This window comes from Homo sapiens, chromosome 13 (assembly GCF_000001405.40).
Source record: "Homo sapiens chromosome 13, GRCh38.p14 Primary Assembly".
Taxonomy (NCBI): Eukaryota; Metazoa; Chordata; class Mammalia; order Primates; family Hominidae; genus Homo; species Homo sapiens.
The window spans coordinates 80345542-80370897 of record NC_000013.11 but is presented as its reverse complement, the minus strand read 5'-3'; the positions used below and the strand labels follow the sequence as shown (position 1 = coordinate 80370897).

Below are 25356 nucleotides of genomic sequence, written 5' to 3'. Positions count from 1 at the left end.
CCAGGCCAGAGTGCAGTGGCAGAATCATAGCTCACTGCAGCCTTGAACTCCTGAGCTCAAGTGATCCTCCCACCTCAGCCTCCCAAAATGCTGAGATTACAGGTGTCACACCACATCTGGCCTTGCACTAAGTCTTTGAAACACGGTATATATTTCAGCACATTTCAAGTGCTCACTAGCCCCATGTGCATAATAGCTACTGTATTTTGGTTTGGGTTTCGGCTTTATTTGAGATAGAGTCTGGCTCTACCACCCAGGTTGGAGGGCAGTGGCGCAATCACAGCTCTCTGGAGCCTCAACCACCCTGGGCTCAAGCAGTCCTCCCACCTCAGCCTCCTGAGGAGCCAGAACTACAGGCACGCACCACAACACACAGCTAATTTTTTCATTTTTGTGTAGAGTTGGGGGTCTTGCTATGTTGCCCAGGCTGGTCTCGAACTCTTGGCTCCAAACAGTCCTCCCACCTCAGCCTCTCAACATGCTGGAATTACAGGCGTGAGCCACTGCACCTGGCCGCTACCGTATTAAGTAGTATAGATCTGGAGGATCTCTATCCTTCTGACCAGAAGGGTATGGAGGGCAAGAAACAAGGTTCATATTTTTTTCTCAAGTAATATGTATAAAACTAAAAGATAGCTGTGAGGCTTGAAGTAATTCCAACAGATCTTGTATGCTTCCTGTCCTTACTTAGATTAATGCATTGCTTAGTGTCAGATTTCATGTGGCACAAGGGTGAGGGACACATGCATCCATCTAAACATATAACTTATTCCATGTGGATCTCCTAGGGAATATGGATAAAAGCTTTCCCTTTCCAAACTGCATTTCCTAGAGTCTTAAGAACATATGAGTAATCTTTCGATGAATGGTTCTTCTAACAATGTAAAGAGTAGTTTTAAAAATAGCTATCATTGGCCCAGCCCAGTGGCTCACTCCTGTAATCCCAGCACTTTGGGAGGCCAAGGCGGGAGGATCATGAGGTCAGGGGATGGAGACCATCCTGGCCAACATGGTGAAAGCCTATCTCTACTAAAAATACAAAAAAAAAAAAAAAAAAAAATTAGCTGGGCATGGTGGCGTGCACTTGTAGTCCCAGCTACCCGGGAGGCTGAAGCAGAAGAATTGCTTGAACCTGGGAGGCAGAGCTCGCAGTGAGCTGATAGCACGCCACTACACTCCAGCCTTGGCAACAAAGCAAGACTGTGTCAAAAAAAAAAAAAAAAAAAAAGCCAGGCGCGGTGGCTCACGCCTGTAATCCCAGCACTTTGGGAGGCCGAGGCAGGCAGATCACTTGAGGTCAGGAGTTCGAGACCAGCCTGACCAACATGGTGAAACCCCATCTCTACAAAAAATACAAAAATTAGGGCTCACTTTGGCAGCACATATACTACAATTGTGAACGATACAGAGAAGATTAGCATTGGCCCCTGCCCAAGGATGACACACAAATTCGTGAAGCGTTCCATATTTTGCACAGTCTGGGAAGATCATTTCAGTATCTGCTAACTAGCACTAAGGAAATAGTGTGAATCTAAGCAAAAACGGGTGGCACCCAATGACAAAATTGTGGTTTTCATTAAAAAAAAAAAAAAATTAGCCAGGTATGGTGGCACACGCCTGTAATCCCAGCTACTCGGGAGGCTGAGGCAGGAGAATCGCTCGAACCCAGGAGGTGGAGGTTGCGGTGAACTGAGATCACACCACTGCACTCCAGCCTGGGTGACAGAGTAAGACTCTGTCAAAAAAAATATATATATATAATAAATATATTATATATATTTATATGTTTTTATATATATTATATATATTATATATTTATATATAATATATATTATATAATATATATATTTATATATTATATAATATATATTATATAATATATATATTTATATATTTATATATATTATATATAATATATATATTAATATATTATATATATTATATATATTTATATATTTATATATATTTATATATTTATATATTTATATATATTTATATTATATATATATTTATATTATATATATTTATTATATTTTTTTTATATATTTATATACATATTTTATATATATATTTATATATATATATATGCCTTCAATGAAAAGTTCCCTGTGTTCAATTGTTTTCAAGTATCAGCTTGATTATCATAAGCAAAATCCACTTATAGTTTTCTGAAATTTTTAGGACAATTCTTTCTTCAAGGGAAAAACCCCGTCTCTACTAAAAATACAAAAAATTAGCCGGGCATGGTGGTGCATGCCTGTAATTCCAGCTACTCGGGAGGCTGAGGCAAGAGAATCGCTTGAACTCGGGAGGCGGAGGTTGCCGTGAGCCGAGATCGTGCCATTGCACTCCAGCCTGGGCAACAAGAGCGAAACTCCGTCTCAAAAAAAAAAAAAAGAAAACAAACAAGCAAAAAACCTTAACAGCTCTGTCATTTACAGTAATCTGGGTAAAAATTTAAGTTAGGCACTTGGGGAAATGCAAAAGCTCTGAAAAAACGTTCCTGCATTGAACAAACTTAAAGTATATCATCTGAAGAGAAAAAAAACTGAAAACAAATATATGAAAAGTTAGAGAACAATTATGTGGTCCTGAAAGTAAATGTAAAAGTTGTTTGAAGAATGGGTGTTCTGGTATCTTTAGTCTCTAACCTCTAATGTAGAATGACTTTATGAGCAGGCTAAGTAAGCATTAGCCCATACATCATGCTTTGTGAAGCAAGGGGCATGACCTCTCATCCAATAATGTCTCCTAAAATTCCTCCCTTTGGCACAGTTATCTGTGTGCTTCTAGGTCCTAAACTGAACATGCACTCCTGTGCAAACCCTCTTCAGTCTCAGGATGAAGGAATGTAGCAGTATATTGAGGTTAGTATCAAATCAGCCTTATCCATGGCCACTCACATCCCACTTTCCAGAGCAGGGATCCTACCATTAGTATTCCTGACCTCAGAGCCCAGCCATAGAAACTGAGTCTTGTTTTCGCTTTGATTCACTCCCTGTTGACTCCAGGTCCTCTAGCACTGGAATCCAAGAATTTATGCCCCCTCAGTCCAACCCCTCCACAACATCCACACCCAGCACTCTCTAAAGTCCTTTGTTGGGGCTCAGGAAGTGATACTCAAAAGTAAATATCTCATTGCTCACACTGTATAGAGCCCCGACTTTCATGGAAGCCCATCGGCAACACCACTGCCTGAAATGAGACACAACTGTTAACTGTTTAGCTAGACTGGCCTATTATCAGGACTGAGAGACTGATTCAATGGCTTATGAGACAATCTATCAATCAATTTTTGGACTGTGAAACTTCTTGAGGAAGTTTCAGAATGAGAAATGTTGGGGTTCAGAAAAAGAAACCCCAAAGCGAAGGCTTGCAAAGCAAAGTCTCTCTCCAACCTTCTGCCCTCCTGTCTCTTGCCCCTCATTCTCCCTGAGGCAAGCCATAGAAATTAGAACGCTTTTTCTCTAAAGTCAGTCCTAAAGCCTAAAAATACAACTCTATCCTTCCCCCATCTTTCTGTGTAATACCTGGCCATAAGGAAATTAGACCCTCATTCCAGAGGGGTCCTGCTCCATATCCCAAAGGAAAGCGTTAGCAAAAATTAAAATCCTAAGCCTCTCAACTGACTGAATAGACCCCCCTCTAGGCCAAGGTGATCTGAAAGAAACCTGAAGAACTAGTTCAGGCCATGACAAGAAGTGGGGTCCGACATGCCTTATTATACTCTGTTCTCTTCAGAGTTAAGACACCACTGACCAGCATTAACACTGAAATAGAGATCATAGGCTGGGTGTGGTGGCTCATGCCTGTAATCTCAGCACTTTGGGAGGCCAAGGCAGGTGGATCACCTGAGGTCAGGAGTTCAAGACCAGCCTGGCCAACATGGTAAAACCCCATCTCTACAAAAATACAAAAATTAGCCAGGCATGATGGCAGGTGCCTGTAATCCCAGCTACTTGGGAGGCTGAGGCAGGAGAATTGCTTGAACCCGGGAGACAGAGGTTGCAGTGAGCCAAGATCACACCACTGCACTCCAGCCTGGACAACAGAGCAAGACTATCTCAAAAAAAAAGAAAGAAAGAAAGAAAGAAAGAAATAGAGATCATAAGGCTGACGAAACAGATTCTTTGTAGCAATAAGATAGCAAATTCAACCTAACTCTCTTATAGTATCACATGACAAATAACAGGCCCCCCCCCCAAAAAAAAACAAAGTATTTTACTCCAAAATATATTTATTTGAAATATTTTTGGATGGCCCTGCAAAGCTGTCTCTTGTGGGGAAAATCTACATTCAGTAAATAATCCCCTTCCCTTTCCTTGTCTTTTCCTGACCCAGGAGAGATTTAAGTAAGAGTCTGGCATCTTTTATGTCCCATAAGAGACATTTACATCTATTATTTAAGAGGCTTCACCTACATAGTAAGAACCTTGATTTCCACAAACCTCCTTATCTTAACTCAAGCATTTCTTTATGCTGACTTCAAGTCATCAGGCAAAGCTTAATTATTATCATTATTTTTGTTTTGTTTTGTTTTGTTTTTGAGATAGGGTCTCACTCTGTCACCCAGGCTGCAATGCAGTGGTGCAATCACAACTCACTGCAGCCTTGACTTCCCAGGCTCCAGCAATACTCCTACCTCAGCCTCCCAAGTAGCTGGGTTTACAGGCATGTGCCACCACACCCAGCTAATGTTTGTATTTTTAGTAGAGACGGGTTTTTGCCATGTTGCCCAGGCTGGCTTTGAACTCCTGAGCTCAAGCAATCCACCTCCCTTGGCCTCCTGAAGTGCTGGGATTACAGGCGTGAACCACCACACCCAGCCAAGCTTAATTATTTCAACCAATTGTCAATCAGAAAATCTTTGAATCCATCTATGACGAAGAAGCTCCCCTTCCCCACCTTCCCCCCTCACTTTGAGATGTCCCACCTTTCTGGGCCAAACCAATGTATACCTTACATGCCTATAACTTCTGTCTCCCTAAAATGTATTAAACCAAGCTGTAACACAATCCTCTTAGGTGCATGTTCTTAGGGCCTCCTGAGGCTGTGTCAAAGGCCCTGCCACTCATATTTGGCTCAGAATAAACCTCTTCAAATATCTTACAGAGTTTGGCTTTTTTTGTCAACAAAATAATGCTGTACAGAAAGACCAAGAAAAATCTGGACAGGCTTTGCCGAGTTTCCTGACTCTGTCTATTAGCATCAAAGCATTAGATTTTATCCTTTTTGTCCAATCATATTTTATATGGCTATCCATACTTCATTGAACATCAGCATAAAACGCAACAATTTTCCCTGCATCTTTGGGTCTTCATTCTGAAGCCTCCCATATCATATCAAACTGTGCTTAAATAAATGTATTATTCTTTTTTCTTGATAACCTGCCTTTGTTATAGGGGTGTTAGCCATAATGCTTATGATGGAGAGGAAAGTAATCACCTCATTTCTGCCTCTACACTTTCCAGAGCCTAGAAATTCCACATCTAAACTCCAGCAGCAATGGCTGGATCTCCTTATTAGAAACTGCTTCTCCCTGATGTTAATTGTCACTTGCTAAACCTCTCCGTGGTATTTTCCAGAGTGTTAAAATGATCTGATGATGGTATCTTGCACACCAGTGATGAGTAAGGTTGATTTGGGAGATCTGACCTTCTACTCTGTTATTTCCTTTCTGTTTTACCATTCCGCAAGCACACCTCACAAAAATGACTTTTAAGAAGACAGCAGCTCTCAGTAGAGGACATACAGTTCCTTTTCTTTCCCAATGAGTGACACCTCCTTCCTTTCACTCCTTATTGCCTATTGCTTAGGGTTCTCCTCATTCTGCACCCCATTCCCAGCTTGTTGATTGTTTAGAGGCAACACTTTCTCATCTACTTTATCTTACTACAAAAACTCTCCCTAAAACCTACCATTAAAAATGCTTCTTTAAGAAGCTCATTGAGACTCCAAAGCTCCCTACTGAATACCTATACCCCTAGGGAAATAGTTTCCTATTTTATCATATAATACACTAACTGATTTCTACCTAAAGCCAAAAGTTAGTAAGAGTTGAATATGTAGAGAGAGAATCTTCACATTAAGCACCTTTAAGACTCAGAATATAATACTATAATACAGGGTATAATAAGCATTTAGAAGTGATTTAATACAAGTATTAGTTAAATGAACACTGTATATGGATCAACATACTCTGATTCATGAAAGTACAAATTCACAGAGAGCAAATTGATGAATCCAATGAATTCTAAGAATCTTTAATTATAGTATGGATATCAAGATAAATTAAATCAACTATGCAATTTCCAAATATCTTTCACATAGGATGATGTAGACTAAAATAATGATACAGCAAAGTGTTCAATTACAGAATGTAATTCTCCAGTGATAATGTCACTCCAAACCTCTATTTTGCTTACTAGAGTGTCAGCTTGATGTTCAAATAGCCAACTTTACTACTGCTAGGTCAAGTTACTGAGAGTTAGCTATATAAGGTTAACTCCTACCCAAGAAAAATCCCAATAAATAAGAATTGTTATGCTTTATGTCCTGCTTCATGATATAAGAAAGGAGGAATTAATTTTAAAAGGATTATAATTATCTAGCCCAACTTCAGAATCACTATTGAATTTTAAGAAAGAATAAATTTTCAGAAACTACATTGGCATTTGCTACCAATCAAGGATAACACTTGTATATAGAAATAATGTTTAAAGACCAAAAGTAACAGAATTTTCCTTGCTGTCTTTTCATCCTCCCAAATCACCGCAACAAACTGTTGCAGGGAAACCAGCAGAGGGAGCACTAATCATTGCGATTTTTTTTTTTTTTTAATGTGTGCTCTGAAAAACAAAAGAAACTGTCTTTTAGCGAATTTCTAGATACTTTGTCAAGACTGGCAAAACCCTTATAAAATACAGATATTATTTGCCACTGTTAAATTTCCTCTTTAACTGTTTTTAATCAGTATTGAAACATTTTTTATTGATGTTTTTAATTAAGAAAGTAATACCTGTTTGTTGTACAAAGTGAAACAAATCAGGGGAAATTTTTTTTAAATCAATATTTGCCTATCTCTCCTTCAGATCTGTATTATAAACAGACTTGTGTATCTTTTCACATCCTTCTCATAAAAACAAATTATATATACATATATATATGTGTACTGCTACATGGAGAGAGATTTATAAATACACACACATGCACACATAGGTGTACTCCTACATATATGTATATATGTCTCCCCATGTAGCAGTAGCCTCTCTTTAGGTAACAAAATAGCATGAAATATCCTCAGATATACAGTGGAAAAATAGGAAATGTGAAGTAAACACAATGTCAGGGCATATAACAACCATGTGTGAACAGAGGGTCAAAACATATAGGCCTGAAATTATATCACTGCCTTCCACATGAAAAATCTAAACACATATGAGTGAATGTGTGGACCCGGAAAAACAAATAAGCAAACCAGAACACAAATATCCGTCTTAAACTGTGATGAGGAAAGCTAGGTGAATTAATTTCTGCTTTACAATTTATGTTACCAATCTCTTCACAAAACAAAATTTAAAAAAATTAGCAACAAAACCACTTAGGAGCTTTAAAAAGTGAAACATATTAAAATGCATTCTTTAAAACTCACAATACTGGCCGGGCGTGTGGTGGCTCATACCTGTAATTCTAGCTACTTGGGAGGCTGAGGCAGGAGAATCACTTGAACCCCAGAAGCGGAGGTTACGGTGAGTCGAGATCGCAGCATTGCACTCCAGCCTGGGCAACAAGAGCGAAACTCCATCTCAAAAAAAAAAAAAAAAAGAAAAAAAAATCACAATATTTTACAAATTCTAACTGAAGTAGAGTAAATCGCTTTTCATTCCATTTATTCACATAATTGAACTAAATAAGCAAAAGAATATAACTACTGATATCAGTGGAAGAGACACTTCATCCCACTCCATAGAGAGAATCCCTGAATTTCACTATAGGTTCTGACCCCTGTCCAACATCATCTCTTTACAAAAAGATCCTTCTAAATTAGTGGGCCCAGGACCCAGAGACCCATCTAGCCAGGTGGTAGCTGCTTTTGTGGATTTATGTTTCTGAAGCCAATAAATTTGCTGAAGCTTCCATGGCCTTTACTGTGTGCCCTCATTCATTCCTGTCACTCAGCATGCTCTCCTTGTTTTCCTCCACGTCTCTGCAGATGCACTTTGAACACAGCCTTTTATAAGTGTACTTTATATTTACCAACTTCTACGCACCCTGATCCCATAGCATGGGGCTATCATTTCCCACATAGAAAGGAAGGAAATATTGCAGGGGGAAGAGACAGCACACAAAATGAAATAATGAGAAAAAACTTACAACGGTAGAAGGGAAAGGCCCTACTTACGAGGTTCTAAAGAGAAGTATTTCTGGGAGTAGGGAGTAATTAATCAACTGCGGTATCCATCCCATCTCTCCAAAGCAGAAAAAGGTCATTTTATCTACTTGTAGAAAAAAATCTTTTACTAAGGGCTTTAAGCATTTAGAAACTCTTTCAGAAACCACATCTCTGTAATAAAATAAGAGAACACAGTATAGGGATCCTCATTTCATAGATGAGGAAAACTGAGGAATGGAGAGGTCAAAAGCTGGCTCAATGTCACAGGAAAGGCAGTTGCAGAGTTAGGATAAGACCCAGGGTTCTTGACTCCAGCCCTTTACTTTATCCACAAAGTCAACACAAGCAGTCTAGATTTGTTATCTCGCCCCCTTCTGTCTCAAAGACTGAGTGACAAAGAGCCCTTAGTGTGATACTGAGTGTAAATGACAGCACAGGAAGTCCATTCTCAGGGCAAGCTGTGAGACTGGCAGCTGAACAGGAGGCCACAAAGCAAGTCTGTACAGAGCACTTTCAGTCTACACTCACTATCTCATCCCTACTAAGGCCCAGAGTCCACAGAAGCCAAGGGAGGGAGTGACGGAGGCTGCAGGAGGGTCCACTTAGTTCATCAATTCCTGAGTATCCTTTAGCACCACAAAAGGCTTAGACTTAATGAGAAAGAAATGAATCATCTATAGAACTGAATATTTATTTTAAAGATGGTATTTTCAATGTGTAACTCACATATAAATTATGAATTACATAATTGTTTGTGAACTGTCTGTATAACTACTGTGCAACTTTTCAAGGAACACTCTTTTCTGACATGGTACTAACCTGTTAATTCAACTCTTTGAAACATGTTAATACAGTTCTCAAGGAATTCCATCTAGTCAGGTAGCACATGTTTGAAGCTGAAAATGCTGAAAGTGAAGAAAAATTGTATCAAAACAGGTTCAGTATGAATATCAACCATATATGGAAGAAACATTTATATAGAAGCCACACCCATGTGGATTCACAGTTGTATCAGCCAAGATACTGCAAGTATACCAAGTGTGTTAGTCTAACCATATAGCATAAAGCTGGATTTATTTGTGCTATTATGGCATGGTTGTTTACTGCAAATATAAAAGAAAATGAAGGCTACCACGACCTAATTCCATTGTAAATTGAATTGTATTATCTTCCTGTAAGCATACGTTTCATTACAAACATTTTATTATGAAAGGATGGTCAAAGGAGAAAAATAAATTTATGATACATGTATGACAATATCTCAAAGTATAACTTGTAATTTTCCATATACTGTTAAACTGACCAGCACTTCTTTTAATTCATTAAATAGTGATCAAACTATCCTGTGAAAAGAGATGTTTTACATAACCTTATACTTAATTTTAATATTAACAGTTCAATCATATTTAAATTGATTGAAATAGACACAGTGCATTAAAATCTGACACATTCATTCTTAATTTTAGATGTCCACAAGTTGTGAAAAACTCATCTCTAAGATGCACAATTTTTAAGATCAAAATTTCTTTGATTTAAAAAATTGTCATTTAAAATGGTTTCTGTTCAAAACATTAGTCATCTATAAAAATAAAGATACATAGTAATCATCACAGAAGGAAATTATTTTACATTGTTTATTTATGCCTCTATTTTAATTATTTGTAAAGTCAAAGAGAAGATGCTTTTTTCCAGAATCTAGAGTGCAACATGTTTAAAGAGAGAAAGAGACACACAAAGTAAGACACAAACAGAGATCCAAAGAGACAGAAAAATTGCAAAATGCTCTTACTTAAAGCACCAGACTACTTCAGTTACAGCATATGCACTCCTAGGTCAGGGTTCCTAAATCAATAGACTAAAGAAAAACTGCCTTGTCATCAGAACTCCAAAATATATGGGTCTCAGGAGAAACAAATATGTGGAGCTGTAGATCTAAATCCAAACTCAACTCTGTGGAAGAAAACAAATTTTACCTGTAAAATAAGTTGAGCTACTTGACCAGTACATTAGAAATTACACAGCAAAATACTCTAAAGACAGGATCCTAAACTCATTTTCCTTTCAAAAGTAGGGAGTGAACAGATAAGGGACACTAATTGCAGCAAACAGAATGCAAAACTGAAAAGCTTAAATAAAAAAGACTGATGAAAGCATAACATTAAAAAGAGAAGTGTTTAACTGTTAAATCATCCAAATTGCTTTGCCAAATTTTGACATGCTTGGTTTCCTGTAGTAAAATCTCATTCTTTTTTTTTTTTTTTTTTTTGGCTTTTGGAAAAAAAAAGTGAGGAAAAATAACCAGCTGTTCCTTGTATAGTTCAGGAAACAAGTTTGATTTATTACTTTAAGGTTATTTTTGAATGAGCTGCTTGTGGGAGCCAGAGTGCAGAAGTCACTGAGGCCTGTCCACTTGAAGGGCTCAAACTGTTTCCTGAACAGCCCTTCTTCACTCCTCACCTCCGACGGCTATTATTGACAACGTGTGACTGGGGCCTTCTAGGATTTTAAAACAGCAGGGGTCCCAGCCAAACAATCGGGCTGTCAATTACCTTTTCCCCTGTTGTGAAAGAGGGGCCCAAGACAATGCAACTTCTCAGCAGGGAGTTGTGCAGCTCCAAGTATGTAAGCCACCCTTGCACCGTTCAGCATTCAAAACCAAGTAAATGGTTGGTGCCTTCACTTTTGTCTGTGTGTGTCGGTGCAAACCAGAATTACTGCAAGGTGTAGATGTCTCCACGGCTGGATTTTTAAGTTCTTGGTAGGGCAAAACTGACTCTGTACATTGTTATCTCTGAGCTTCATGGAAGTTTTTTCTAAGTTCCAAACAGACACAGAAAGTCCCCCTCCCCCCACCTCCCAGCCTCCTTCTGTAAGCTTGTCCTCTGGGAACGCCCAAGCCTCTCTACCTATACTGTGGCTTAAAAAACTTCCTGTGGGCATTGATGACTTGCTGTGAGCACTGTCCATCATCCCGCCCCTTTGTCTGGCAGTCACTTCCATTCGAATTTGACTGACTGAGGCAGCCTGAGTTATTTGTAAAGAACAACAAGGCTTTTCATTCATAATTTTAGTAGGGGGACAGGGTGCTAATGACTGAGCTTGAAGAACTAGGGAATGTGGTATTCAAGGCAGGAAGAAGCTCAACTGGCTGCCAGATGAGGGAAGGAAAGGATGTAGGTGAAATGTGTCTGCATAAAAAGCCAATGACATGAAGATCACGTGTATACAAATAGAAATTGAATTTTTAAAACGTGAGATAATCTGAAGGATGGAAGCAGGAAGGAGGGCAGGGAAAGTCTAACAGGATTTCATTAACTTTGGGGTCAAGTTATGTGCCAGAGTTTACAGAATCCGAAACCCATAAAGTGTCTACAAAGGAAGTGATCTTTTCTTCCACTGCTGGTTCTCCTACAAAAACAAAAGAGTAAAGAAAAAAAAAAAAGAGGAAAACTGGTTTTCACTCTTTTTTGGTACCTTTCACATACTCAGACAAAGAGGGTTTGTTTTCCCTCTTTGGAACCAAATCTCCAAAGAATTTACTTTTGGGGTCTGTAGTCCATTTTATGTACATACAGCATGAACATAATATGTAATGATTTTACATATCTGCTGCTTCCAAAGAAGAAAATTTGTAAAAAGGTAAATTTATAGTTGAATTATTTGTATAGGTAAGTCTTATGTGATTTATCTTTCTTGCAAAAATAGTAAAATTGTGGTTTGGTTTTTTAAAATTAAGAAATTAAAACTCACATTGAAGTTTTTTACGTATGATTTTGTTCAGATTCATAGAAAAAAATTGAAATAACAATGTTGCATATTTGCAATCTACTGTGAATTAGCAGAATGATACAAAACGCTTTTAAAAAAAAAATGTAATTCCGGCTGGGCGCGGTGGCTCACACTTGTAATCCCAGCACTTTGGGAAGCAGAGGCGGGCGGATCACCTGAGGTCGGGAGTTCAGGACCAGCCTGACCAACATGGAGAAACCCAATCTCTACTAAAAATACAAAATTAGCCAGGCATGGTGGCACATGCCTGTAATCCCAGCTACTTGGGAGGCTGAGGCAGGAAAATCGCTTGAACCTGGGAGGCGGAGGTTGCAGTGAGCAGAGATTGCACCATTGTACTCTTGCCTGGGCAACAAGAGCAAAACTCCGTCTCAAAAATAAATAAATAAATAAATAAATAAATAAATAAATAAATAAATGTGATTCCATAAGTGAAGAATGTTTCAATCATTTGTAGAAAATCTTTACTATGTTTCTTTCATTAAAGCAAGTCAAATAAAGGCAAAATTGAACAATAACAAATGCTGATTTTTGTAAAGATCGGCAAAAATAATTTTTCAGGCAATGAGACTCTGGCTCTTTCCATGTTTAGTCTATTAGGATTTGTGTTCTCAGGGAGCACTTAGGGCTACTGAGGCCTTGAGTCAATGTTCAGACCCTGGGTTGGGTGCTTACTAATCGCTAAACTCCTAAGCCATAAGCTGACCCAACAAACCTTCCTAAAAACAGAGGAGCAGCCGGGCTCAGTGGCTCACGCCTGTAATCCCAGCACTTTGGGAGGCCGAGGCAGGCGGATCACGAGGTCAGGCGATCGAGACCATCCTGGTTAACACGGTGAAACCCCGTCTCTACTAAAAATACAAAAAATTAGCCGGGCATGGTGGCAGGCGCCTGTAGTCCCAGCTACTTGGGAGGCTGAAGCAGGAGAATGGCATGAACCCGGGAGGCGGAGGTTGCAGTGAGCCGAGATCGGGCCATTGCACTCCAGCCTAGGTGACAGAGCAAGACTCCGTCTCAAAAACAAAACAAAACAAAACAAAACAGGAGCTACTGCCACTACTCCATGGCCCACATCCATGATTTCCTTTCATTCTGACAACCATCCTGCTCTGTTCAGTGGGGAAGCAGAGGCATGGAGATACTCTTGTATTTTCCGTTCATTTCCATCTAAGTACGCAACAAAAGCAAAGACCAGTGAACAGGTAGCTGGGGAGTTCCAACACTAACCTAAAGTAGGCCTTCAGTGGGCTTGTATTATCATTTATTAATTTACTTTGGTCTGTATTTCAAGTATATATATATATATATATATATATGTAAATTGAAATAATGTTAGATAGCCCATGTTATCTTGTGGCTTGCTGTGCCACCTGAGCATATCCTCAAAAAAACCCTTAGGTTTTTGAGAAAAGGATTAAATAACTTACCCCAATCTTAGGATAAAGATAAATTTAAAGCTCAATCACACCCTGGTTATTCTATATTCAAAGCCAAGTGAAGCCTCACCATGCTCTTCTGTCCACTATCTCTTGGGACCTGAAGCTCAGGCGATTGTTCCATGAATGACAGATGTCACAACTGGCTGAGTCCAAGCCCAGGTCAAAACATGAAGTAAGTGAAGGTAATAACCTTTAGTATCTTCTTAGACTTCCCTGTCAGCTACCTCTATCCTCTCCTTTGGTGGTGCATGTTAATAACTGGCTTCCTGGGGTTAAAAAAATAAATTCCAACATCTGGGGATGTCTGTGTTGTAAACACATTGACCACGGCTAATTCTCTTTTCTTTTCTTTCTTTTTTTTTTTTTTTTTTGAGATGGAGTCTCGCTCTGTCACCCAAGCTGGAGTGCAATGGCACGATCTCAGCTCGCTGCAACCTCTGCCTCCCAGGTTCAAGCAATTCTCCTGTCTCAGCCTCCCAAGTAGATGGGATTACAGGCACCCGTCACTGTGTCCGGAATTGGTGGGTTCCTGGTCTCACTGACTTCAAGAATGAAGCCGCAGACCCTCGCGTTGAGTGTTACAGCTCTTAAGGTGGCGCGTCTGGAGTTTGTTCCTTCTGATGTTCGGATGTGTTCGGAGTTTCTTCCTTCTGGTGGGTTCGTCGTCTCGCTGGCTCAGAAGTGAAGCTGCAGGCCTTCGCGGTGAGTGTTACAGCTCTTAAGGTGGCGCATCTGGAGTTGTTCGTTCTTCCTGGTGGTATCGTGGTCTCGCTGGCTTCGGGAGCGAAGCTGCAGACTTTCGCGGTGAGTGTTACAGCTCATGAAAGCAGTGTGGACCCAAAGAGTGAGCAGTAGCACGATTTATTGCAAAGAGCGAAAGAACAAAGCTACCACAGTGTGGAAGGGGACCCGAAAGGGTTGCCACTGCTGGCTAGGGGCAGACTGCTTTTATTCTCTTATCCGGCCCCACCCACGTCCTGCTGATTGGTAGAGCCGAGTGGTCTGTTTTGACAGGGCACTGATTGGTGCGTTTACAATCCCTGAGCTAGACACAAAGGTTCTCCACCTCCCTACCAGATTAGCTAGATACAGTGTCTACACAAAGGTTCTCCAAGGCCCCACCAGAGTAGCTAGATACAGTGTCGATTGGTGCATTCACAAACCCTGAGTTAGACACACGGTGCTGATTGGTGTGTTTACAAACCTTGAGCTAGAGACAGAATGCCTATTGGTGTATTTACAATCCCTGAGCTAGACTTAAAGGTTCTCCAAGACTCAGGAGCCCAGCTGGCTTCACCCAGTGGATCCCACACCGGGCCTGCAGGTGGAGCTGCCTGCCAGTCCTGCGCCGTGTGCCTGCACTCCTCAGCCCTTGGGTGGTCGCTGGGACTGGGCGCCTCAGAGCAGGGATGGAGGAGGCTCGGGCCGCACAGGAGCCCACGGAGGGGGTGGGAGGCTTAGGCATGGCGGGCTGCAGGTCCCGAGCCCTGCCCCACAGGAAGGCAGCTAAGGCCCGGGGAGAAATCGAGCGCAGCGCTGGTGGGCTGGCACTGCGGGGGGACCCAGTACACCCTCCGCAGCCGCTGGGCCGGGTGCTAAGCCCCTCATTGCCCAGGGCTGGCAGGGCCGGCCGGCTGCTCCGAGTGCGGGGCCCGCCAAGCCCACGCCCACCCGGAACTCCAGCTGGTCCGCAAGCGCCGCAGGCAGCCCTGGTTCCCGCTCGCGCCTCTCCCTCCACACCTCCCTGCAAGCTGAGAGAGCCGGCTCTGGCCTTGGCCAGCCCAGAAAGGGGCTCCCACAGTGCAGGGGTGGGCTGAAGGGCTCCTCAAGTGCCGCCAAAGTGGGAGCCCAGGCAGAGGAGGCGCGGAGAGCGAGCGAGGGCTGTGAGGACTGCCAGCGCGCTGTCACCTCTCACCACCACGCCTGGCTAATTTTTGTATTTTTAGTAGAGATAAGGTTTCACCACATTGGTAAGGCTGGTCTCAAACTCCTGACCTCAGATGATCCACCGGCTTCAGCCTCCCAAAGTTTGGAGATTCCAGGCGTGAGCCACTGTGCCTGGCGACCATGGCTAATTTTCGAACCTGACATTACTAAAAACATGGGAAGAGATGCACATAATCAGCTCTTGCAAGCAGGTATAAGCCTGTTCTAGCACCCACCATCATCTATCCATACTTTGTTCCATGTCTACATTCTAGTTTTGTTTTTGGTGAGCTATGAATCCCTATTATGATTTCAAAATATAATAATATAATGACTTTCATTTATTGAAGGGTTATTAGAAGTCAGACATCTTCTAAAACACCACACGCATTCAGCATTTAATCCTCACAGTGATGCTCTGACATAGGAAATACTTTTATCCCCCACTTTACTAGTAAAGAAACTGAGGCATTGGGAGATTGAATAATTTATAAAAGACCCCCTTCTAGATCAACATAAATCATACTCTGTGTGAAGGTTCTTGTCATCTTATTTTTCTTAATCTCCCCATGTAATTCTAATATATGGCCAGAGTTGAGAACCATTAACATAGTTAACAAAACAAGAATCCTTGCTATTTGAAAAAAAAATAGAATAACATCCCTATTGCATGTGATTAACTCTATGTTAGGTCTTGGATAAAGCTGGACTCAAAGTTCTATTTGGTTGTGTAGAAACATCATACATTGAAAAACAATAGCTCTGTAGAGATAATGAAGTGAGAATGTGGGTCATCTTTAGGATATAATATAGTTTTCTTTTTTTTTTTTCTTTTGAGACAGAGTCCTGCTCTGTTGCCCAGGCTGGAGTGCAATGGCGCAATCTCGGCTCACCACAACCTCCACCTCCCGGGTTCAAGCGATTCTCCTGTCTCAGCCTCCCGAGTGGCTGGGATTACAGGCATGCACCACTGCGCCTGGCTAATTTTGTATTTTTAGTAGAGACGGGGTTTCTCCATGTTGATCAGACTGGTCTCGAACTCCTGATCTCAGGTGATCCACCCGCCTCGGCCTCCCAAAGTGCTGGGATTACAGGCGTGAGCCACTGCGCCCAGCAGAATATAATATAGTTTTCTAAAAAAAAATTCTGAATAACCTAAGTATCTCAATTCATAAGGTATCAGTAAATTTTATGACTTTCTGGCTGTCATTTCAAATATCACTGTATTTTTATTTACTTATTCCACTTAATTTTGTGTTAAAATTAACACAAATTTAATACAATATGAAATACAATACATATAAAATACAATATGAAACATACTATACAATATGAAACATACTAAGATAAAATACACTATGAAACATACTAAGAAACTTGTTTATCTGTAATGCAAATGTAACTGATTGTTCTTCATTTTTGTTAGCTCTGGCAACTATAGATTAATTTGGGGTGAGAATTGTCATGCTTTGAATCAAAATTTCACATAGGATCATCCTCCTTTATTATCTTTCATCGTCCAAACTTATCCATCCACCACGGTTGGCCTTGAGAGCATGCCAATAAGCAACTTGGCTTTATCATTCATACCAAATGGATTCTGGATGATTCACAGAAAAAAAAATGCAAATGTCCAATGAATATAAGAAAATATGCTAAACTTCTGAAGTAAACAAAGAAAAAATGAAACAATGAGATATTCTGCTTCATCTACCAGATAAGCACTTATTTATTTATTTATTTATTTATTTTTGAGACAGAGTCTCTCTGTCACCCAGGCTGGAGTGCAGTGGTGTGACTCGGCTCACTGCAACCTCTGCCTCCCGGGTTCCAGCGATTCTCCCGCCTCAGCCTCCCAAGTAGCTGGACTTACAGGCACCTGCCATCATGCCCAGCTAATTTTTTTTTTTTTTTGGAAAGATGGGACTTCACCATCTTGTCCAGGCTGGTCTTGAACTCCTGACCTCAGGTGATCCACCCACCTCCACCTCCCAACGTTCTGGGATTACAGGCGTGAGCCACTGCGCCTGACCTAAGCACTAATTTAAAATCATCCAGAATCCAGTTGGTATGAGTGATAATGTTAAATTATAAATGTACTAGAAGGGCCAATATTTTTATAATTTGGCTGCAAGAAGCTATTTTAAGCAACTGAACACAACCAGAAACCGTAAATGGAAAAATTGATAGGCATGAGTTTTCATATAAGTTGAAAATGTCTTGTATGGTGAAACACAAAATAAAAGGAAAAATACTGAAAGTAGGTTTGAAAGATAAATAGAAAATGGGAGAATATTTGCATTTTTAAATAGGATACTTCAGAAAATAAATAAATAAAGGACAAGCCTCTCAATTAAAACATGGAAAAAGGATATGAACTTGAATTCACAGAAGAAAAAGCAAATGTCCAATGACTATAAGAAAATATGCTCAACTTCTGAAGTAAACACAGAAAAAACGGAACAATTAGATATTCTGTGTCACATACCAGGTAAGCACTGATTTAAAATTTTGACAAAGCTTGCTATTGGTCAGGTTTTGGGGAAATAGTCACTCTCATAGAATGGTTAGAAAGGCAAACTGGAATAATGTTTTAGGGAGCATATTAGCAGTATTATTAGAAATTTTAAATATGCACACATTTGACTTAAAGTCTATTTTCATGAATCTATCCTAAGAAAACACAAATGTGCAAATATAAAAAAGCATGCCTATCACAACACTACTTATTCTAGCAAAACAACCTGTCCCCAAACCTCCAGATGTCTGGAATCTAATGACTAGCAATATGGAATTTTAAAGTAAATATTCACCAAATATTAACCAGAAATGCCACTATGATGTCTCAAATATACTTAAAGAATTCTTTCTGAGATTTTTGCTTTTATAATTTTAGGAAATGTTTGAGGTTTTTTTTTTTTCATACAGTGAGTATATAATTCAGAAGAGAAATAAATAAATCCATTTGCTATTTGGAGAGCAATTATAAGAAAAAAAGAATACATGCATTTTTTTCTGCATAATTCTGGAACATAAAGTACTCAGTATAAATTGATGAAAAATGGGTATTAAAATATACTCGAGATTTTTGTTAAAATTCTCTCTCTATTACTGAAAGCATACCAAATCCTTCCTGATCCCAGCTGATTCATTTTATAACACCTGCTAAGCCATGATGCTAGTGACTTCATGGAAGAGGTACTTACCCTTCAGGTACTATGGGCTGACAGAGGGTATTTTACATTATCTTAGACTTAAAAAGTATCATGATTTGTAATAACTTGAAAAGTAGTTATGAAGATGGAGGAAAAAAACTTATTTTATCAATTGTATGAAGTTCTTGGGAAATGAATGCCAAATACATGAAAAGAGTTGTTGGTCTAACCTGACAAAAACAAGCAATGGGGAAAGGATTCCCTATTTAATTAATGGTGTTGGGAAAACTGGCTAGCCATATGCAGAAAACTGAAACTGGACCCCTTCCTTACACCTCATACAAAAATTAACTCAAGGTGGATTAAAGACTTAAACGTAAAACCTAAAACCATAAAAACCCTGGAAAGAAACCCTGGCAATACCATTCAGGACATAGGCATGGGCAAAGACTTCATGACTAAAACACCAAAAGCAATGGAAACAAAAGCCAAAATCAACTAATGGGATCTAATTAATCTAAAGAGCTTCTGCACAGCAAGAGAAACTATCATCAAAGTGAACAGGCAACCTACAGAATAGGAGAAAATTTCTTCAATCCATCCATCTGACATCATACCCAGAATCTACAAGGAACTTAAGTAAAGTTACAAGAAAGAAAAACAGCCCTATCAAAAAGTGGGGGAAGGATATGAACAGACACTTCTCAAAAGAAGACATTTATGCAGCCAACAAACATATGAAAAAAAGCTCATCATCACTGGTCATTAGAGAAATGCAGATCAAAACCACAATGAGATACTATCTCACAACAGTTAGAATGGAGATCATTAAAAAGTCAGGAAACAACAGATGCTGGAGAGGATGTGGGGAAATAGGAATACTTTTACACTCTTGGTGGGAGTGTAAATTAGTTCAACCATTGTGGAAGACAGTGTGGTGATTCCTCAAGGATCTGGAACCAGAAATACCATTTGACCCAGGAATCCCATTACTGGGTATATACCCAAAGGATTATAAATCATTCTACTATAAAGACACATGCACAGGTATGTTTATTGTAGCACTATTTACAACAGCAAAGACTTGGAACCAACCCAAATGCCCAGCAATGATAGACTGGATAAAGAAAATGTGGCACATATACACCACGGAATACTATGCAGCCATAAAAAAGAATGAGTTCATGTCCTTTGCAGGCACATGGATCAATCTGGAAATCATCATTCTCAGCAAACTAACACAGGAACAGAAAACCAAACACCACATATTCTCAATCATAAGTTGGAGTTGAACAATGAGAACACATGGACACAGGGAGGGGAACACCACACCGGGGCCTGTCGGGGGATGGGGGACAAGGGGAGGGAGAGCATCAGGACAAATATGTAATGCATGCAGGGCTTAAAACCTAGATGATGGGTTGATGGGTGCAGCTAACCACCATGGCACATGTACACCTATGTAAAAACCTGCACGTTCTGCACATGTCTCCCAGAACTTAAGGTATAATAAAAAAGAATAATTAAAAAAAAAAAACAGAATCGTTTGTCTACTGCCACAATCCCTGGCCCTGCCTGGTGTTGAAATGCCGTGATGATGTCTCAGACTTATAGGACTCTTTCTTGGAACTCAAGTATTTCATCTTCTGCCTAGAACTGAATTCCATTGTAAGGTTATTGTACTTGCTACAAACCTAAGAGTCTTTTTCACTCACACCCTCAGTATATATGTAGAGAATTTTAGCTTCCTAATAAACCATTTAAAATTAGTGCTGGGATTACAAGTGTGAGCCACCACACCCGGCCAGTGATTTTTATTCTAACTCCTATACAAATTCACATTTACAGGATCATAGTAGCCTAAAGAATTCAAAACAGTGAAATACCACTGCATTCTACTGTACAACAAATACCTATGCCATTACATAATTTATTATAGGTGAATGTACCTGTTCCTCCTAATGGGGGATGGAGCTTCTAAACCATTTCAGATACAGGGCTACATTCCAAAAATATATACTTCAATCCAGTGTTGGATAAGAGCCTAAATGTTGGATAATATCCTAAATGTTCCCTCAAATAAGAGGGAATTTACATTCTCAAGCCTCCAGATTTCCTGAACAAATAATTCAATGAGTAGATATTCTAGTTAGAAACAACCATATCGGCTAAACAGGTCCCTTCTTCCCTAAAATGTTTTATGTACTTTGAAGAAGTCATACATGAAAGAAAAGTCAATGTATGGTTAAGATTTAATGTAAGAAACACTGTCTATTACTAGGTAAATATAGCTAAATACAGTTAAAACTTATTCTAAATCTCTAAATTATTATTCCTGTGTTTATGCAAACATAAAATAAATCAAATTCTACTAAGTTTAAAGCTTTTTGAAAGGATGGAAGCAAAACAGCTAATTTTACTAAATAAACTATCAAGCCCCATTTAACTGAAGTTATTGCAGCTACTTATTGAGAACTTCCCACATGCTAGGCTGGGTAGATACTTTATGTCATCCAATCTTCCAAGTGACCCCATGCCCCTCTTTTACAGGTGGGGACTAAGGTTAATTATTTCAGTCATTTATTCATTCATCCTTTTTTTTTTTTTTTTTTTTTTTTTTTGAGACGGAGTCTCGCTCTGTCCCCAGGCTGGAGTGCAGTGGCGCGATCTCAGCTCACTGCAAGTTCCGCCTCCCAGGTGCATGCTATTCTCCTGCCTCAGCCTCCAGAGTAGCTGGGACTACAGGCGCCTGCCACCACGCCCAGATAATTTTTTGTATTTTTAGTAGAGACGGGGTTTCACCATGTTAGCCAGGATGGTCTCAATCTCCTGACCTCGTGATTCGCCCGCCTCGGCCTCCCAAAGTGCTGGGATTACAGGCGTGAGCCACCGCGCCTGGCTCATTCATCCTATTGAAAACTAATGTTTGAGCTCCCTGTATGTATTAGGCCCTTCGGTTCTGGAAATACAATGGTGGGCAAAACCAGACTTGGATTCCAGCCCTCATGGACCTTAAAATACAGTGAAAGAGACAGTTATTAATGAAACAATCACAATTACATGTATAGTTGCACCGGAGAAGGTCATGAGAAAAAAAGGTGGGATTTCACCTAGTCAGAGAAGTCAGAAAAAGCTTTCCTGAGAATATGACAACAGAGATTTGAAAGATAAGTAGGCCATCGTGGGCAACATTGTGAGAACTGTCTCTACAAAAAAAAAAAAGTTAATTAGCCAGGCATGGCGGTGGTGCATGCCTGTGGTCTCAGCTATTCAGGAGTCTGAATTAGGAGGACTGCTTGAGCCCAGAAGTTCAAGGCTGCAGTGAGCCAGGATAGGACTACTGCATTCCGGCCTGGGTGACATAGCAAGACGCGTCTAAAAAAAAAGAAAGAAAGAGAATGAAAAGAGAAAGATAAATAAGAGTTAATAAAGCAAATAAGGTTAATAAGAAAAGTGCATCAGGGAATAGCATGTAATAAGGCCCTGTTGCAGGAGAGAGGTGCTTCTGAGCAACTAAAAAGTAGCCTTCATAACTGCAGGGTAGAAAGCAAGAGAGTGTGTAAAAACAGAAAGAAAAGAGAAGAGAAGAGAACTGGTGTAACAGGAGTCTGGTGAGGGAAAACAGCCAGACCAGAGTAGGACCTTGAAGTTGTTTGAAAGACTTGGATCTTTACCCAGAAAGTAATGTGAAGCCAGGGGAGAATCTAAGCAACAGGCAATTGTGATCAGATTCACCCAAAGTGGTCTAGATTGCATCCAAATCCAGCTCTCTTGAACTACCAAAGTCTCTGGAACCTATTATGATATCAAAAGTTCAATCTTGAGCATCTTTTTCTATTAGCAACTACAGTTTAAAAAAAGAAAATAATGATTTTGAAAATCTAATTTCTTTTTCTTTTTCTTTTTCTTTCTTTTTTTTTTTTTTTTGAGACAGAGTGTCTCTCTGTCGCCTAGGCTGGAGTACAGTGGCACGATCTCGGCTCAATGCAACCTCTGCCTCCTGCATTCAAGCAATTCTGCCTCAGCCTCCCAAGTGCCTGGGACTGCAGATGTGTACCACCACGCCTGGCTAATTTTTGCATTTTTAGTAGAGACGGGGTTTCACCATGTTGGCCAGGCTGGTCTTGAACTCCTGACCTCAGGTGATCCATCCTCCTCAGCCTCCCAAAGTGCTGGGATTACGGGCATGAAGCACTGTGCCCAGACTGAAGATCTAATTTTTAATTTTGCTCATATATTTATTTTAACACATGTTAGGATATAATGCAAGAAGGTCTCTGTGGTGTAAAATGAGGGTGAGAAGAATACTTACCAAAAGTGCAAGGGGATTTCTCACATACAACATGAACGGCAAACTGTCCACTAATTGACGGCTTCCTTGAGCTATTTTTAAAATGTGTTCTTGAAAGTTAACAGACTGCTAACTTCTTATTTGAAATTACAGTTTAACACTTAATTTTAATTATTAATATAGTCATATCTTTCAAAGTAAAAAGTTTACTTTTACCTACATTCTTTACCCACCCATCATCATCCTCTTTGTCATTTCTTTGTTATATAGTTTAAAACTAGATGTTCCCTACAGCTTTATTTCCAGTTACCTCACATTTCCATAAAGATTTATTTGTAATTTAATAAGTATTTAATATTTCACCTATTAAAAGTCATAGCCCTGGCCAGGCGCAGTGGCTCATGCCTGTAATCCCAGCACTTTGGGAGGCCAAGGTGGGTGGATCACTTGAGGTCAAGAGTTCAAGACCAGCCTGGCCAACATAGTGAAACCCACCTCTAGAAAAAATACAAAAATTAGCCGGACATGGTGACAGGCTAATAGGTAGCCTGTAGTCCCAGCTACTCAGGAGGCTGAGGCAAGAGAATCACTTGAACCCAGGAAGCAGAGGTTGCAGTGAGCTATGATTGTGCCACTGTAATCTAGCCTGGGCGACAAAGCAAGACTCTGTCTCAAAAAACAAAACAAAACCAAATAATCATAGCCTTAACAAACTTGTTTCAGTCACTTCCTAGTAATTATGCAAAACACAATGGTAATTTCTAGAACAGCAGAATGACTTAACTTCTGCCATTAAAGAATTCAAAAACTGTGAATTTCCTTTTACAAAATTAAGACTTTAAAATATTATCTTATTTTAATCATACTTTTTTTTTCTTTTTTTTTTTTTAGATGGAATTTCACTCTTGTTTCCCAGGCTGGAGTGCAATGGCACGATCTTGGCTTACCGCAACCTCCGCCTGCTGGGTTCTAGCGATTCTCCTGCCTCAGCCTCCTGAGTAGCTGGGATTACAGGCATGCGCCACCACGCCCAGCTAATTTTTGTATTTTTAGTACAGACGGGGTTTCACCATGTTGGTCAGGCTGGTCTCGAACTCCCGACCTTAGAGGATCCGCCCACCTTGGCCTCCCAAAGTGCTGGGATTACAGGTGTCAGCCACCACACCCGGCCTAATTATACTTCTTAATTTCATTCATTCATTGAAAAGCGTTTAGTGAGTGTCTAGTGTCTACAGAGATCGGAGTGAGTGCTTTCTTTTTTTAAGAATGAAATGCTGGGCTGGGCACAGCGGCTCACTCCTGTAAGCCACTGTAAGCTACTTTGGGAGGCTGACACAGAATGATCATTTGAGCCTAGGAATTCAGGACCAGCCTGGGCAACATAATAAGACCTCATTTCTACTAACAATTTAAAAAATTAGCCTGGCGTGGTGGCATGTTACTGTAGTCCCAGCTACTTGTGAGGCTGCGGTGGGAGGATCTCTTGAGCCAGGGAGGTCAAGGCTGCAGTGAGCCATGACCACACCACTGCACTTCCGCCTGGGTAACAGAGTGAGACCTGTCAAAGAAAAAAAAAAAAAAAAAAAAAAGAGAGAGAGAGAGCAAAAAAAAGAAAAGAAAAGAAAATGAATGAGAAGGTGAAGAATCTTCCTGTTTCAATTCCAGGTTCCAAAGAAGTCCAAGGCAGCCTTGATATATAGTCTCCAGATCCTTGGAGCAGTCTATCCTTTAAAGTTCCATCCAACACAATATGCACAAACAAAGCTGTTTCTACCTACCCCACAATATTCTCAAATGATTCTCTGTAACTTCAAAACACTTCCTGTCCAAAGGAACAAACAAACTAAATCTGCATGCAATCATAGTCCGTTTACCAAACTGAACAATTTTGGACTTGATCTGTTAGCGGAGGTTAATTCCGAGCTGGCCGGCAGCCCTGATATTGTGTGGCATCTGCACAGTAAGAATGGCTTAAGTGGAATCTGTTTAACTACATCTTTCTTAGAGAACAGGTTGAACTTCCTATGCCCTTTTGACCAAGTGTCCACATAATAGGAAGTATAAAAGCAAAACCCTCCAACTATTCCGGGGCTAAAATCTTCCAACTGCTACTAATCTTGGCCAGTAATATCCAAATACTAATTTCAATTAATGATTTTTGCTTATATGATCCAGAACATAGGGGATCAAATGTTAAAAACAAACAAAAACAAATAAACCCAGGGCTATTCAGGGAAATGCAGTGAAAGAATGCAATGTCCTCACTGATTAGGTTTTCTCTGCACATATCAGTCCTACAAAGAAGTTTAATCTTCAAACCAAAGGATAGATAAATTGAAAAAAATAATGAGAAAAATCGTGTTG

The 25356-nt window shown here is 40.0% G+C and overlaps 1 long non-coding RNA gene and 1 pseudogene across 2 annotated transcripts, besides 2 other annotated features; one reads left to right on the top strand and one right to left on the bottom strand.

Moving 5' to 3' along the window:
* Window positions 1364-1472, top strand: RNU6-61P (RNA, U6 small nuclear 61, pseudogene; annotated as a pseudogene).
* On the bottom strand, window positions 4846-14543 carry LOC105370276 (uncharacterized). Of its 2 annotated transcripts, XR_001749939.2 has the most exons (4): window positions 13688-14543; window positions 10182-10342; window positions 9212-9297; window positions 4846-7804 (listed from the first exon to the last, which is right to left on the bottom strand). It is a non-coding gene; the product is annotated as an uncharacterized LOC105370276 (long non-coding RNA). The 2 variants fall into 2 exon arrangements; XR_001749938.3 differs by lacking the exon at window positions 13688-14543 and having other exon boundaries at window positions 10182-10659.
* Window positions 10526-11290: an enhancer, noted in NCBI's record as "OCT4-NANOG-H3K27ac hESC enhancer chr13:80933743-80934507 (GRCh37/hg19 assembly coordinates)". NCBI's record gives its function as "activates a minimal SCP1, AML or CMV promoter by ChIP-STARR-seq in primed H9 embryonic stem cells {active_cell/tissue: H9 hESC(primed)}" and the evidence as "EXISTENCE:reporter gene assay evidence [ECO:0000049][PMID:30033119]".
* Window positions 11291-12055: an enhancer, noted in NCBI's record as "OCT4-NANOG-H3K27ac hESC enhancer chr13:80932978-80933742 (GRCh37/hg19 assembly coordinates)". NCBI's record gives its function as "activates a minimal SCP1, AML or CMV promoter by ChIP-STARR-seq in naive and primed H9 embryonic stem cells {active_cell/tissue: H9 hESC(naive and primed)}" and the evidence as "EXISTENCE:reporter gene assay evidence [ECO:0000049][PMID:30033119]".